Below are 17,976 nucleotides of genomic sequence, written 5' to 3'. Positions count from 1 at the left end.
GAGTTTAGAGTAGATAAGGATCTTCTTTCATATGGCTGTAAGATAAGGAAATTCTAATCTAAAGCCTCTGTTTTCCTTGTGAGAAGAAGGTTCATCTGCTGAGAGTGAACTATGAGGTAGGCCAGGCATGGATTTGGGGAGCTGGAGAAAGTTTGATAAGGTCATTGAAGAGAATGGGAGAGAGAGGTGATCAGAAACATGTAGTGGGATTTCCAGGCAGACTGAGGGTCCATTTGAAACTGGCGATCATGAATTATAGTGGAAGCCATCTGCTCGGTTGTGCCTCTCTCCTGCAGGGCTAGGTTTGGAGAAAGTGTGGCCGCCATGGGAGTGGCCAAACAAACCAGATGGAAGGATGGGTTATTGTGGTCGGAAGGTAGGCAGGGTGAACTTGCTTCTGGAGGTAGTGAAATAATGTGTGCTGACATAGACCAGGGGTGACTGTGGGCCTGAGTGGCTGAGATGACCAAGGAAATGAGAGGCTAAGGGGCTATGTGCATCATCCCAGCTAACTGTTTAAGTCACTCAGGATTGGAGTGGCCACATCATTTATTGTCTCAAGACCGGGACACTTTTGAGAGTACCAAATTGCCAAGTGGATCGGAAGCTAAGAAACAGTTGTAGGCCACGTGCAGTGGCTCACACCTGTAATCCCAGCACTTTGGGAGTTCAAGCCAGGAGGATCGCTTGAGTCCAGGAGTTTGAGACCAGCCTGGACAACACAGCCACAAAAAATAAGAAATTAGCTGGGTGTGGTGTGTGTGCCTGTAGTCCCAGCTACTCAGGAGGCTGAGGTGGGAGGATGGCTTGAGCCTGGAAGTTTGAGTCTGCAGTGAGCTGTGATCATGCCACTGCAGTCATCCAAGGTGACAGAGCAAGACCCTGTCTAAAAAAAAAAACTTAAAGTATAATAAAACATATAAATAAATAAATAAGTATTTAAAAAATAAAGACAGAGACAATAATCTAAAAAAAAAAAAAAGACAGAAACAGTTATAATTCATGACTGTCCCAGGCAAACAGAATGATGACAGGACTTCAGGTCATCTTAAAGGGTGACAGGGAGTCACGTGTCAAGGTTTTGAAATGAGAAAGCAGAACTGGATTGTTTAGTCAAGTGGCATGAGCCTCAAAAGAGAAAGCTTTTTTCGCTTGCTTTTAGTTTTGTTTTTAATAAAAAGATTAGTCATTTATGATTTGCAAGTAGCAGTGAGGAGCATAGAGAACCATAAACTCACCTTCCGAACTTAAGGTGGCTGGAATTTAAGAGAATAAACCACTTTCTTTTGAGAAAGCTGCAGTGGAAATGGTGCCCTCAGGGCACAGTTAAAGCCTGAGGTTAGCAGAACACTCCAGAAATAGCTTCAAGATACAGGAGTGGCAAGAAAGAGTTTGGGAGGTGGGGAAGAGAATGACCCATGGGGCCATGAACACAGAAGAACAGCCCATCATGGAGACGATGGTGTGGGGGAAAACCCCCCCAGGTGGCATTCTCTTTGGACAGTGACCAATGAAAACAGACTTCAGTCAGAAGCAGTGGCTCACGTCTGTAATCCCAGCACTTTGGGAGGCCAAGACAGCCAGATCACTTGAGGTCAGGAGTTTGAGACCAGCCTTGCCAACACGGTGAAACCCCGTCTCTACTAAAAATACAAAAATTAGCCAGGCATGGTGGCGCATGCCTGTAATCCCAGCTACTCAGGAGGCTGAGGCAGGAGAATCCCTTGAGCTGGGGAGGCGGAGATTGCAGTGAGCCGAGATTGTGCCACTGCACTCCAGCCTGTGTGACACAACAAGACTCTGTCTCAAGAAAATAAAAGCAGAATTCCTCAGGTATTTCGGAAGAAGATGGTTAGTGGCTAAAAGATGTGTGTTATAGAACTGTAAAGAAACTCAGTTTACACTGAGTTGGATTTGACTGTGTCTCACTACCTCACTCTGTTGGCAAGCCCATCAAATCCAACATGTATTCTGGCCAATCTCTTCCTGACCAAAGTACTTTCACCTTCTGTAAGGGGACCCGGGTTGACTTGAAGTCAGAATCCTGCTAGCTTTTTCTTTTTCTTTCTGTCATTCTTTTTTTTCACAGGTAATTTTCTTTAGTTTAGCATTTTATAAAGCTTTGTCTATTTATTTTATTTGACTTGCCCTCAATTGTAGGGGATATTAGTTTCTGATTTAAATATCTAGCTTATTTTTAAAAATCTAACTTTTATGCCATCTGTAGTAGACTGTATTTTCCAAAGCTAGTCATGGCCATATCTTCCTTCCCCATTAAGAGGTAGGATCCATTTCTCTCCCTCTCCCTTGAATGTACTTTGACACATAGAATAGAACAGAAGTGATGGTGAACATAGTACTTAAATCCTGCCTCTTCTGTCCTTGAGCAGTCATGAAGAAGTCCTGGCTACTGTGTCGGCAATGAAGCCACATGGTGGGGCATGGAGGCATCAGATGTGAAGTGAAGACACCATTTTCACTGCCCAGACCCAGGAAAACTTCAGATGATTCCAGCGCCAGCTGTCCTCTAAATACAACTGCTTGAGAGACCAAGGGAGAACCACTGCGCTGAGCCTCATATCCCTGAAAGATGATGATAAATGGCTGTCTTAAGCCTCTAAGTCAATGGTCTCCCAGGGACTAAGTTCATGGCACCAGGGACTGGGTTCGTGGAAGACAATTTTTCCACAGATTGGTGGGGGGGATGGTTTCAGGATGATTCGAATGCATTACATTGATTGTGCATTTTATTTTTATTATTATTACATTGTAATATATAATGAAATAATTATACAACTCACCATAATGTAGAATCAGTGGGAGCCCTGGGCTTGTTTTCCTGCAACTAGATGGTCCCATCTGGGGGTGATGAGAGACAGTGACAGATCATCAGACATTAGATTCTCATTAGGAGCTCACAACCTAGATCCCTCACATGCACAGTTCACAAGAGGGTTTGTGCTCGTATGAGAATCTAATGCTGCTGCTGATCTGACAGGAGGTGGAACTCAGGCAGTAATGCAAGTGATATGGTTTGGCTGTGTCCCCACCCAAATCTCATCTTGAATTGTAGCTCCCACAATCCCCACATGTCATGGGAGGGACCTGGTAGAAGGTAATTGAATCATGCAGGTGGGTCTTTCCTGTGCTGTTTTCTCATGATAGTGAATAAGTCTCACGAGATCTGATGGTTTTATAAAGGGCAGCTCCCCTGCAGACGCTCTCTTGCCTGCCACCGTGTGAGACGTGCCTTTGCTCTTCTTTTCCCTTCTGCCATGATCGTGAGGCTTCCCCAGCCATGTGGAACTGCGAGTCCATTAAACCTCTTTTTCTTTATAAATTACCCGTCTCAGGTATTTCTTAATGGCAGCATGAAAATGGACTAATACAGCGAGTGATGAGGGGCAGCTGTAAATACAAATGAAGCTTCACTTGCTTATCCACTGCTCACCTCCTACTGTGTGGCCTGGTTCTTAAGAGGCCACGGACTGGTACCAGTCCATGGCCTGGGGCTTGGGGACCCCTGCTCTAAGTGTTGGTTTCTTCACAGCAGTAAACACCCAAGACACCATCTTGGGTATCTGTGCTTCTCATTTTTTCTGTCACAGTCAAGTTTCAATGCTTTAACTTTTTAAATATTATAAACTGGCAATGAAAAATAACTCTGCTCATGATTTCTATTTTAACCATAACAGGTATATATAATTAGTATATTTTTACTAATTATATATGTCACATATAGTGAATATATTTTCTCTTGCCTGTTAACAAGATCCTCCCTCTACCTGCCTCCTTACCTGCTACTGGTCCCTGGCCTTTGTTTGAAGCCAACTCCCTTCTCTCCTACACTCCAGTGGTACTCAGCAGGAGGAGAACCAGAAAGGAAAGGATGAAGACCAGCAGCAGAAAGAGAGGAGTGAAGAAGACATGAGAGAGTTCAAGAAGGCTTAGGAGAGAATCTTTGGTGGGAAGCTAAGAGCAAGGCAAGGAGAAAAAGGTTTGAGGGAAACTGCAGGATATGAGAAGGGTGGAGTTGAGAAGAAAAGGAGGAAGGGGGTTTTAAGAAATGTGGACTTGGTCTGAAATTAAATTGGCTGCTGGTTTCTTTGCACTGACACTGCACAGGGGCTATGCCCTTGGGAGGGGGCCCAGTGTTAGTCAGGGTACTAAATAAGCATGAAATTCGTGAAACTCTGAGATATACATTTGATGCTTGAACAGGGCAGGGGTTAGGTGAACTGACCTCTGCGCAGTTGAAAATTCCACGTATAACTCTTGACTCCCCAAAATCTCCACTGCTAATAGCCTACTGTTGATCAGAAGCCTTACCGATAACATAAGGAGTTAATTAACACATATTTTGTATGTTATATGTATGATATACTGTATTCTTACAATAAAGTAAGCTAGGGGAAGGAAAATCTTAAGAAAATCATAAGGAAGAGAAAATATGTTTACGTGATTTACCCACTCCACCCATCCCTATATGCACAAATATTCTGACTTTTTGAAATTATATTTTTCTGAATATTTGCCACCATTTCAGTAAAGTCATAGCTGCTCTTGAAAAAATTGTTAATAAAATAATATCTGCCCTAGAAGCTGATTATCCAAACTTTATTAGGTTCATTAAGTGGAAGTGGACCATCATAAAGGTCTTCATCCTCACCATCTTCACGTTGAGCAGTCTGAGGAGGAGGAGGAAGAGGTCTTGCTGTTTCAGAGGTGGCAGAGGCAGAAGAAAATTCACGTATAAGGCCAGGCGCAGTGGCTCACGCCTGTAATCCCAGCACTTTGGGAGTCCGAGACGGGCGGATCACGAGGTCAAGAGATCGAGACCATTCTGGACAACATGGTGAAACCCCCATCTCTACTAAAAATACAAAAAGTAGCCAGGTGTGGTGGCGGGCACCTGTAGTCCCAGCTACTTGGGAGGCTGAGGCAGGAGAATGGTGTGAACTTGGGAGGCGGAGCTTGCAGTGAGCCGAGATCGTGCCACTGCACTCCAGCCTGGGTGACAGAGCAAGACTCTGTCACAAAAAAAAAAAAAAAAAAAAAAGAAAAGAAAGAAAAGAAAATTCATGTGTAAATGGACCCATGCAGTTCAAAGCCATGTTGTTCAAGGGTCAACTGTATATGCATACACTGTCTCTCCCCAGAGCATGTGTCTGTAAACCAGTTATCATGACTACCTAGTATAATTGATTAAAAGTACAAAACACATGGGGATTGTTTGATTTGCCAGGATCAAAATCCATTCAAACGGGCTCAAGCAAAAAGGGAAGTTATTGGAGAGAAGCTCTGATAGCTCATGGAACAGCAGGAAGGATAGCCAGGTCTCGAGGGATGAAACCAAGAACTCCAGGACCCCCAGGGAGTCTCTCCATCTCTCTTTCTTTGTGTGCTCACATGATTGATATCTAATATTCTCTAATATTCTCTGCCCAACCTTTTTATCCTTTTTCTGCAGATCAGCTTTCTCTGGTCTACCACAGCCATTGCCCTGGATCAGGTTTCCTGGACTCCATACTTGTGGAGATGGAGATGGTGCAGAATGTTCCCTAGGAGAGCTTTCAGGAACAATATATGTAAAGTAGGGCAGGAAGAAGGATTGGATACTGGGAGAAATTAAACTATGATGCAGCAGCAACGGAGGCTCCAGCCAATTCTATACGGAGTTCTAGGCCAGACTTTGAACTGTGCGCGTTGACCAGCCATTGGATGCTGGCTGTCCCTGGTGAGAGGGACATATCTTTAGACAAAGTGAATCCCTTTGGTCAAGGGTGATTTCTGGGGAGGATCTCAGCTATGAATAGTCAGTAGTTAGCACCCTTGCAAGGGGGATGATGAGCCCTGGGCACCCATTCAGCCACCCAGTCCAGCTTGACCTCATGTCTCATCTCAAACACCAACTGGGACTGAAGCAAGTCCCTGTGTTCCACTTCCAAATTCCTAGGAGTGAGCATCTGACTGGATTAGGTATCCTTTTCCTGTTCTGATCAGCTCTGGCCCTGGAAGTCGGGTCACAAGATATATTACCCAGTGGGTATTAACTAACACATTTGCTAATAATCAATTAGCAAAAACAATTTGTCTTTGATGATAAATGCAGATTTGTCTTTTAATAATAAATGCAAGTCAGCAAAGGTTGGATAATCAGTTTTTAGGGCAGATATTACTTTATTAACATTTTTCGTTCAAGAACAGCTGTGGCAAACATTGAAATAGTGGCAAACATTCAGAAAAATATGATTTCAAAAAGTCAGATGGGTGGGGTGGCAAGTCATGTAAAAACAAGCAAGCCCACATTTATCCAGAAGACAGGTGAATACTTATCTTTATTATTATTATTTCTTTTATTTATTTATTTATTTTTTGAGACAGAGTCTTGCTCTGTCACCCAGGCTGGAGTTCAGTAGCATGATCTCAGTTCACAGCAACCTCCGCCTCTCAAGTTGAAGCGATTCTCATGCCTCAACCTCCCACGTAGCTGGGATTACAGGCACGCCACCACACCTGGCTAATTTTTGTATTTTCAGTAGAGATGAGGTTTTGCCATGTTGGCCACACTGGTCTTGAACTGCTGACCTTAAGTCATCTGCCTGCCTCGGCCTCCCAAAGTGCTGGGATTACAAAGTGCTGGGATCCCAAAGCGGCATCAGTCACCGTGCCTGGCCAACATTTACCTTTTAATAGCATATTTTACCCTTTTGTTTACCACATCTTTAGTTTTGCCTTTTCCAGAATGTCATGGAATTGGAATCATACAGCATGTAACCATTTCAGACCAGCTTAATTCACTTAGCAATGTGCATTGAGGATTTATTCATGTCTTTGTGCGGCTTGATAGCTCATTCCTTTTTACTACTTACTAATATTTGATTATATAAATATATTGCAGTTTGTTTATCCATTCATCTATAGGAAGCCAGAAAAGGGGTCTTGAGCTAGACTCCAAGAGAGGGTTCTTGGATCTCACACAAAAAGGAATTCAAGGCAAGTTGCAGAATGCAGTGAAAAAAGTTGTTTTATTGAAAGCTACTCAGATACAGAGTAGGATGTCCTCAGAAAGCAAACAGAGGAATGCACCATCTTTATTTGAGATTTTTCTTATGTAGAGGTCTTGTCTATGACAAGACTAAACTAAGCTGTGCCTGTGTGTGGGTTGGCTGACAGCATGATAGAATTTATTATTTGATTGATTTAAAGAAAACTATCTTGACAGTTTAGTGTGTAAGTACATCAAAGCATAACTATAGTTATCCTGAAAGCCTATCTTGTTATGGCTATTGGAACTTCTGGACTTCCTGTTGCTGTAGGAGTTTGTTCTTGCAGGCATTACCAAGTTACCTCCTTAGCTTTGTAAGTGACCAGTAAGCAATGTTCCTTGCTAGTTTTAAGATGAAGGAGATTTTAAAATGGTGTCACCCTGCTAGTTTTAAGATGGAGGTGATTTAAAAATGTTGTCGGCCGGGCACTGTGGCTCACACCTGTAATCCTAGCACTTTGGGAGGCTGAGGCGGGTGGATCACGAGGTCAGGAGTTCGAGACCAGCCTGAACAACATGGTGAAACCCCATCTCTACTAAAAATACAAAAATTAGCCTGGTGTGGTGGTGTGCACCTATAATCCCAGCTACTCAGGAGGCTGAGGCAGGAGAATCACTTGAACCCAGGAGATAGAGGTTGCAGTAAGCCAAGATCGTGCACCATTGCACTCCAGCCTGGGTGACTCTTTCTAAAAAAAAAAAAAAGAAAGAAAAGGCGTCATCCTAGGCTCCTGCTCCCCTAACAGAAATACATCTTGGTTACTCCCAGTTTTTGGTCATTATGAATAAAACTGCTATAAGCATTCACACGCAGGATTTTGTGTGGACATAAGTTTTCAAATCAGCTGGGTAAATTCCTAGGAGTGCAATTGCTGGATTGTTCTATGTAAAATGTTTATTTAAAAATGGAATGCTTGTTCCCTGGTGCTGCACTCTAACATAAATGTAATTCTCTCAGCAAGGCCAATTTTACTTTCTGCAGAAAGGGTGCTCATTGCAGATGTAACAATGGCTAGAGCACACCTGAACAAAGGAAGGAAGCAATTTTTATCCCTTACACAGTTTGTCCCTGCTACTGTGTCCTGTCGCCATTGGCTGGAGCCAGACCTCACAATCTAAACTAAAACCCAATTGGCTAACAGTTTAAACTTTTCTAAATAGGTGAAAGTAATGGAAAGACAAAGGAAAAGAGGAAGTTGCTTATGCCAAAAAAGGAAGGGGCATAGGCTGCAAGCTGGAACATGCCCGTGAGCATGTCCAGCACAAATATCTTGGTTAAGGTACAAGGACATAGAATGTACTACATGCCTGCGAGCATGTTTAACAGCTACATAGGACAGGGCTTACTTACCAAACAGTTATTAGCACAAAGCAAGAATGCTTAAAGGAAGTTAGTTTTTAAAATAAGCTATTATTTTTAACACTTATGATTTATTCTTTAACAAGAAGGGAAACTTTGAAGAGGAACTTTTACTTTCTACATGGATCATATAAGAAGACTATGATTAGTTTTGTAAGAAACTGCCAAACTGTCTTCCCAAGTGGCTGTACCATTTTGCATCCCCACCAACAATAAATGAGAGCTCCTGTTGCTCTGCACTCTCACCAGCAATTGCTGTTGTGGCTTTTTCAGATTCAAGCCATTCTAATGGGTGTGTGATGGTATCTCATTGTTGCTTTAATTTGCATTTTCCTAATGACAAATGATGTTCAGCATCTCTTCATATGCTTAATTACTATCTGCAGATGTTTTGCCCATTTTTACTTGGCTTTATTGTGTTATTGATGAGTTTGTAAGAGTTCTTTGGATATTTTGAGATGACTGGATTTTTACTATTCGATTCCTGCTTACTTAGAATTAATCCTAGCAAGGCCTGAAGAACTTCTTCTCCCACCCTCATTTCCTTTCACACAGTGGTGGCAAATGGCAGCTACCACCAGTCAGCTTTTGTATGAAAGACCAAATTTAGTAAAAGGTGGTTTAGGGCTGTAAAATGTGTGAAAAGGCAGGCTATAACATCTTTACTTAAAAATACCTCCTCTATTAAAATGGACCATTCGTTTCATCCAGTGTGGTTCTTAACTCTGGGTGCGCAGTAGGACCACCAGGGTAACTATTAAAAATACTGATGTCTTAGCCAATATCTTAAAAAAATTATTTATAATTTTTTCTTTTTTAGAGATATAGTCCTGCTCTGTTACCCAGAGTAGAGTGCAGTGGCACCATCATAGCTCACTCAGCCTCCAACTCCTGGGCTCAAGGAATATTCCTGCCTCAGCCTCCTGACCACCAGGTCTGGCTTATTTTATTTTATTATTTTATTTTTTGTAGAGATGGAATTTTTCCTATATTGCCCAGGCTGGTCTCAAACTCCTGGCCTCAAGTGATCTTGTTACTTCAACCTCCCAAAGTGCTGGGATTACGGGTGCAAGCCATCTCACCCAGCCCAATATCTTAAAATAATTGTTGATATCAAGACTTCAACATCAACTAAAACCATATTAGACACTACTACATATCCACTTGATTGACTACAATAAAAAGCATTGATCAAGTCAGGTGCGGTGACGTGTACCTGTGGTCCCACCCGCTCAGGAGGCTGAGGTAGGAGGATTCCTTGAGCCCAGGAGTTTGAGACCAGCCTGGGCAACATAGCAAACACAGCAAGACCCTGTCTAATTAAAAAAAGATTGATCACACTAAGTGTTGTAAAAGGGTATGGAGGAACTGGAACTCTCATCCAGGCTGGTGGGAATGGAAATGGTGCAACTTCAGAACACAGTTTAGCAGTTTATTAAAAAGTTAAACATACACCCAGTATACAACCTGGCCATTCCACTTCTAGGTGTCTATCCAAGAGAAAGAAAAAACACACGTTCATACAAAGACTTGTACATGAATGTTCATGGCAGCGTTTGTAATAGCCCTGAATTGGAATCAACCCAAGTGCACATCAATAGGTAAATGGATGAACAAAGTGTGTGATATTCATATGGTGAAATGCTACCCTGCAATAATAAGAAGTAAACTTCTGGTACAACATGGATGAATCTCGAAATAATTAGGCTGCATGAAAAAAGCCAGTTAGTAAGAGGATCAAGTGCGATTTTATATAAATCACACATGTGTGACATAAATGTGTGATCACATTTATATAAAATTCTTGAAAATTTAAACTAATCTATAGTAACAGAAAGCACTGGGAAGGGGAGGGATGAAGGAAAAAGAAAGGATGACAGAGGGTCACAAGAGGGCTTAGAAGTAATGAACATGTTCGTTATCTTGTTTTTTGTGATGGTTTCCAGGGGTGTGTACATATGTCAAAACTGACCAAACTGGACAGTTTTCATATGTGCAGTTTACTAAATGTCAATTGGACCTAAATAAAACTGTGAAAAATATTTTTGTACCTTGACCTGTTATCCAATTCATGATTTCAAAAAAATCTAATGTTTTAAATCTATAAGCTAAACTTTAGTTACAATCTTATTTATCAACAATAAGGGAAAATTAAAAAATCTGCAATATCACTGCATGTTCTCACATAAAAGTGGGATAGAACATTGGGTACACAAGGTTATAAAGATGGGAATGATAGACACCGGGCACTACAAGAGTAGGGAGGGAGGGGGAAAAGGGTTGAAAAACTACCCATTAGGTGCTATGCTCACTGTCTGGGTGACAGGTTCATTTGTACTCCAAGCCTCAGCATCTTACAATATACCTTTATAACAATTCTGCACATATATCCCTGGAATCTAAAATAAAAGGTAAAAAAGAAAAAACTTTAATATTAATATTTTTCACACATATTGATAAATAGGGAAGAATCTATGATATAGATTAATTTAATTTAATTTTTGAGACAGGGTCTTGCTCTGTTGCCCAGGCTGGAGTGCAGTGGTGCAAACGTAACTCACTTAAATCCTCTACCTCCTGGGCTCAAGTGCTTCTCCTGCCTCAGCCTTGCAAGTACCTGGGATTACAGGTGTATACCACCATGCCTGGTTAATTTTTTATTGTTTTGTAGAAATGGGGACTTGTTATATTGCCCAGGCTGGTCCCAAACTCCTGGCCTCAAGTGACCTGCCCACCTCAGCCTCCCAAAGTGTTGGGATTATAGCTGTGAGCCACTGCATTGTCCTAGATTTTTCATAACTTGACATTTTGTTGTTGAAAGCCTTGACCTGAAATATATATCAAAGAGAGAGAAAAAGAGTGAAAAGTCAAAATTGTGTTGGAAGAAATGTGAAATCAAATACTATGAGTTTCCTGGAAGTTCAGTCCAATACCGTAGGCTACAAAAAGCTATAGGATACTGTGGAGTCTTACTGCCCTATATATATTGTAGGAGGGTGTTGAAGTAATCATACATGCTTTACTACAGCAAAGAGGTTTCTGTATCAGAACTGAACACAATGAAAAAGCAGAAGATTTAAGAAATGCTAATGTTACATGTTTTAAAAGTTTAGAACACAAGTTTTATTAGAGGGCTTTTTCATCCAACTTAAAGTACCTTTATTGTCTTCTTTGCTAGAACTCTATGACTTCTGGTAACAGAGGCCAAAACATACAAACTCCTCAGACTATCTGGTGAAACTCCATCAGGAATAGGAGAGTTTCTACCAGTTCCAATTTAAATAATTTTCTGTATGTGTGTATGTCAAGATTGTAATAGTTTGATTAAAGTAAGAAAGAAATGTGCATGAGAATGTATTGCAATGCTGCAATCTTAACCCTGTTTCATATTTGATTTTTATTTACTTATTTGTTTATTTTTTAATTGAGATGGGGGTCTCACTAAGCTGCCTGAGCTGTTCTTGAATGCCTGGACTCAAACAATCCTCCTGCCTCAGCCTCCTGAGTATTAGGTCTGTTCACTAATTTAGAACCACAGATTAATATTTGATAGCTTTTAATGGGCACAGAGTCATTTTTAAATGTTGGCCACAAACACTGTCCAGTTGAATATAAGGTAAATATAAACTAGTTCCCTAAGGCACTTCACGTTATTGGCAGGTCTTCTTCAATAAAAGTGTTTAAACAAGAAATGGGAAAAGGATTCCCTATTTAATAAATGATGCTGGGAAACTGGCTAACCATACGTAGAAAGCTGAAACTGGATCCCTTACTTACACCTTACACTAAAATTAATTCAGGATGGATTAAAGACTTAAATGTTAGACCTAAAACCATAAAAACCCTAGAAGAAAACCTAGGCATTACCATTCAGGACATAGGCATGGGCAAGGACTTCATGTCTAAAACACCAAAAGCAATGGCAACAAAAGCCAAAATTGACAAATTGGATCTAATTAAACTAAAGAGCTTCTGCACAGCAAAAGAAACTACCATCAGAGTGAACAGGCAACCTACAGAATGGGAAAAAATTTTTGCAATCTACTCATCTGACAAAGGGCTAATATCCAGAATCTACAAAGAACTCAAACAAATTTACAAGAAAAAAACAAACTACCTCATCAAAAAGTGGGTGAAGGATATGAACAGACACTTCTCAAAAGAAGACATTTATGCAGCCAAAAGATACATGAAAAAATGCTCATCATCACTGGCCATCAGAGAAATGCAAATCAAAACCACAATGAGATATCATCTCACACCAGTTAGAATGGTGATCATTAAAAAGTCAGGAAACAACAGGTGCTGGAGAGGATGTGGAGAAATAGGAACACTTTTACACTGTTGGTGGGACTGTAAACTAGTTCAGCCATTGTGGAAGTCAGTGTGGCGATTCCTCAGGGATCTAGAACTAGAAATACCATTTGACCCAGCCATCCCATTACTGGGTGTATATCCAAAGGATTATAAATCATGCTGCTATAAAGACACATGACACGTATGGTTATTGCGGCACTATTCACAATAGCAAAGACTTGGAACCAACGCAAATGTCCAACAATGATAGACTGGATTAAGAAAATGTGGCACATATACAGCATGGAATACTATGCAGCCATAAAAAATGATGAGTTCATGTCCTTTGTAGGGACATGGATGAAGCTGGAAACCATCATTCTCAGCAAACTATCACAAGGACAAAAAGCCAAACACCGCATGTTCTCACTCATAGGTGGGAATTGAACAATGAGAACACTTGGACACGGGAAGGGGAACATCACACACTGGGGCCTGTCGTGGGGGAGGGGGAAGGGAGGAGGAATAACATTAGGAGGTATACCTAATGTAAATGACGAGTTAATAGGTGCAGCACACCAACATGGCACATGTATACATATGTAACAAACCTGCATGTTGTGCACATGTACCCTAAAACTTAAAGTATAATAAAAAAATTATGATTTTTCATTACCTTAAACTATTTTTCTTATCTTTCTTAGAAATGAAAGAAAACTAGTTTGAGAAAATTCCTGCATTTTAAAATAAATCTCTATTTCAGCCAGACGCGGTGGCTCACGCCTATAATCCCAGTACTTTGGGAGGCTGAGGTGGGTGGATCACCTAAGGTCAGGAGTTCAAGACCCACCTGGCCAAAATGGCAAAACCCCATCTCTACTGAAAATACAAAAATTAGCTGGACTTAGTGGCACACGGTTGTAATCCTAGCTACTGGGGAGGCTGAGGCAGGAGAATTGCTTGAACCCAGAAGGCAGAGGTTGCAGTGAGCTGAGATCGCACCACTGCACTCCAGCCTGGATAACAGAGTGAGGCTCCATCTGAAAAAATAAATAAATAAATAAATAAATAAAATGAAATAAATTTCTATTTTAATGAGAGGCTTGTAGAAGAAGATATTAGCAGATTTGTATTGTAAATTTATGACATAATAGTGTGGCTCTGCAAATAACAGCAAATATTGTTGATTATTATTTATTTTCCTTCTGTGAACATTAACTTTGTGAATTATGATGTTTTTCATTTTTACAATAAACATTTTTCTTAATAGAAAATTTTTAGTTTCTTTATTTACATACTGAGAAATGCATCTTTTTTAAGTGTACAATTTACTGAAGGTTTTTCCCCTTTGATCATGTTTTTAATTTTGATGAAGTTCAATTTATCCATTTGTTTCTTTTATGATTGTTTTTTGTGTGTGTCCTACCTATAAAATCTTTGCTGGCTCCAGGATCACAAAGATTTTCTTTTGCTTTCTTCTAGAAGTTTTATAGTTTTAGGTATAGTTTAAATTTATGCCTAAGATCAATCCTGAATTAATTTTTATGAGTTGTGTGAGGTAGGGGTTGAGATTCAATCTATTTTCATGCATTTATTCTGTTGTCCAAGCATCATTTGTTGAGCGGATTTTCCTGGTTTAGCACTGCTGTGGCTTGGGTGAGTTGGTCTAATTCTAGAGTTCAGTGATAGAAAGCCCAGCTGGCTCTCATACAGAGCTACACACCCTGTCTCTAGTCTAGCTTTTATGATTAAGAAGGTGATATTTTGGCTTCCAATAATCATTCACTTGTCTTTTGTTCAATATATTCAGAACTCAGGTGGGGAAGAGAGATGCTATTCACAACCCCTTCCATGAAGAGGTCTAGGTTCAAAGCCAGAGGCTAACTAGTTATAGGTCCAGGCTCTATGATATTTTTGATGGCTTCTTCCTCCTTGGGTTATTAAGTTACGTACAGTCCACAGCTCTAAGTAGTGTTTGGTTGAAGCACTTTTTTCCCCTTCATCTTCTTTTCATTGGAAAATGTCCTTGTTAACAGATAAATTTTTAAAATGATCAACTACAATTCTCATACAAATATAAAATCCATGCTTGTCAAATATTTTATTTAATTCATTAACTAATGAGGGAACCGGTAAGATGTTACAGTTGTTTCAAAGAAGCACATGTTTATATGCATAAAGAAATGTTGAAATGAATTTACAAACAGATTTAAAAAACTGGTCTATCTCCAATACCATAATCCATTACATTTCACCAGACACAAGTCAATTGCACTTTTGTGAGCAAGAATCATTGGCACTATTACCGGTTTTTCAGAATTTACTGTCTTTGAGAGTTGCAAAGCCTCTGGAGATAACCAGGATGGTAAAGCTAGACAGGACACCCACTAATCTTTTTTATCCATTTCGAAGTCTTTTGTAATTTTTCCTGACACTTTCTATCTTCACCCAGTTTCACATGGTGAGCCTAGTCCTGTTCTCTGCTACAAGAAGTCTAGCCAGCTACAGTTACATTTACTTGGTTTTATCTAATTGCCTTCTTGACCTTTCCACTTGAGTATTTAAGAGGTATGACATGGATAAAACTGAACTTTTGATTTTTTTCTTAAGCCAATTCTACCCCTAGTTTTTCTCATCTCAGTAAAAGGCATCTCTTCAGTCCAAAACCCATGAACCATCATTGGTTATTTATTCTTCCTCATCTAATGAATTAGCATGTCTTTATTATATATCCTTTTCTTTGTCTCTATCCTCACTTACTTAGACCAAGCCCCATGAACTATTCCTCGGGCCACTTCAATAACTTCTCAGCTGGTCTTTTTCCTTACCCTCTCACTCTCAATCCATTTTCCACACAGTAGGATGCATTAGTTTTTAAAAATATAGACAAGTAACATTTACCAATGCTTTTGTAGAGACAAGGTCCCCTATGTTGCCCAGGCAGATCTCAAACTCCTGGGCTCAAGCCATCTTCCCACCTCAGCCTCCCAAAGTGCTGCGATGAGAGGATTAAGTCACCACGCTTGGCAAATAAATCATTTTAAAACAGTCCTATGCTGGGCTATTATTGCTGCTATCTTTCTTTTATAAATGAGAAACATGACATGTGGATTTTAAATAATATGCCTACACCCACCCATGTAATAAATGGTAGAAATGATATTTAAATCTAGGTCGTCTGATTCTGGAGCTTGGACTATTAACCACTGTATGTCCTGCCTCCCTAAACAAGTCAGATTTGTCATTCCTTGCTTACATTAAATTTAAACTTGCTCTTGTACTTGGAATAAAACTTGGACTCCTTGCCAGACTTACAAGATCTGACGCCAACCCCACCTCTCCAACCTCATCTCGTTGCTCTCTCTCCCCATAGCAAACCAAATTCAAGCCATACTGGCATTTTCTTCTCTCTTCCTGAGTATTTATTTATGTAATGACAAGTCTTGCTCTGTTACCCACGCTGGAGTGCAGGGGTGCCATTGTAGCTCACTGCAGCCTCAAACTCCTGACCTCAAGGGATCCTCCCGCCTTGGCCTCCCAGAGTGCTTCGATTACAGGCATGAGCCCCCACATCTGGTCTTTTCCTGAATATTGAGAACCGCTTTGCTGCTTAGAATGCACACCTCCTGGCTCTTTGCTGAGTGGTGTCTCTGACCTTTGCAGTCTCAGCTTAAAGAAGTCCTCTTGCTCCTGTTGGGTGAGCTCCCTGAAGACACCGGGGCATAGCTGTAGTAGGGGTTAGTGGGTGTGTGGGAGGTAGAGAGCGGAGGGAACGTAGGGAGTCTTCATTTCTCCAAGCACATTGTTCTAAATTGGTTCTTCCTTTTCTAAGAGAGGTAGTGTGAAGTAGTCAGTTTAAACACCCAGATCAGACTGTGAAACATGAGAAGAAAGAGGTCAGAAGATCACTTTATGGTCTTACCAGCACCTGGACTGTAAAATGACACCAATCATAATGCCTTCCTGCCCTCATCACAAGGTTGGTGTGCAGATGGCAACATATTCAAGATGGCTTTGACAGCTGTAAACAGGAACAGATGTGAGTAACTTCAGGCCAATGTGACCTTCACACTCTAGTGGTGCCTTCACTTGTGAATTGTGCCCAGGACCAGGCAGTGAGGCCAACATGCTTAGAGAAGACCTCGATGAGCATGTCATTGTCCCATTCTGGGGACCTCAAAGACTCTGCACTCTATTTCTGCTCATGCAGCAATCTTCAGACACTATGCAATATTCTTCCAATGAACATAGCAAATAAATACATTTCATTTTATTATTATTATTGTTATTTTGAGACAGTCCTGCTCTGTCGCCCAGGCTGGAGTGTAGTGGCCCGATTATAGCTCATTGTAACCTTGAACTCCCAGACTCAAACGATCCTCCCACCTCAGCCTCTTTAGTAGCTGGGACTACAGGTATATGTTACCATGCCCAACTAATTATTCTAATGTTTTGTTGAGCTGGGATCTCACTATGTTGCCCAGGCTGGTCTCAAACTCTTGGCCTAAAATGATCCTCCCACGTCAGCCTCCCAGAGCACTGAGATTATAGACATGAGCCACCACACCAGGTAGAAACACATTTTATTTATTTATGTTATAGAGATGGGGTCTTGCTATGTTGCCCAGGCTGATTTTGAACTCCTGCGCTCAAGAAATCCTCCTGTTTCAGCTTCCGAAAGTCCTGGGATTACAGGCGTCAGCCATTGTGCCCAGCCAGAAATACACTTTATTTATTTATTTAGAGATGGAGTCTCGCTGTGTTGCCCAGGCTGGAGTGCAATGGTGCGATCTTGGCTCACTGCAACCTCCATCTCCCAGGTTCAAGTGATTCTCCTGCCTCAGTCTCCCAGGTAGCTGGGATTACAGGCGCCTGCCACCATGCCCAGCTAATTTTGTATTTTCAGTAGAGATGGGGTTTTACCATGTTAGTCAGGCTGGCCTCTAACTCCTGACCTCAGGTGATCCACCTACCTCGTCTTCTCAAAGTGCTGGAATTACTGGTGTGAGCCACCACACCTGGCCCAGACATACACTTTAAATGAGAAACTTTTCTCTTGTTTACGTTAGTCTAGAATTCCCTTCTACCCTCTAACCTTTAGTCTATTTCTCTGCCTTCCTCTCCTCTCTCCCTACCTTCTCTCCTTCCTCCCACCCTCTCCTTCTTCATTCCCTCCCATCTTTGCCAAGATTAAAGAAGGAATCTGGTCAAAGTGGAAAACTCCATATGAAAAAATGAATTTCAAGCACAGAAAAATATGTGGTAGTAGATA

General features: G+C 41.0%; 1 annotated feature.

The window, feature by feature from the left end:
- Nucleotides 1,148-1,497: an enhancer, noted in NCBI's record as "active region_3165". NCBI's record gives its function as "activates an Ori minimal core promoter by ATAC-STARR-seq in GM12878 lymphoblastoid cells {active_cell/tissue: GM12878}" and the evidence as "EXISTENCE:reporter gene assay evidence [ECO:0000049][PMID:35858748]".

The sequence above is a fragment of the Homo sapiens genome, chromosome 10, assembly GCF_000001405.40.
Source record: "Homo sapiens chromosome 10, GRCh38.p14 Primary Assembly".
NCBI classification, from domain to species: domain Eukaryota; kingdom Metazoa; phylum Chordata; class Mammalia; order Primates; family Hominidae; genus Homo; species Homo sapiens.
The sequence above is the reverse complement of the archived record's forward strand: the minus strand, read 5'-3'. Positions and strand labels throughout refer to the sequence as shown.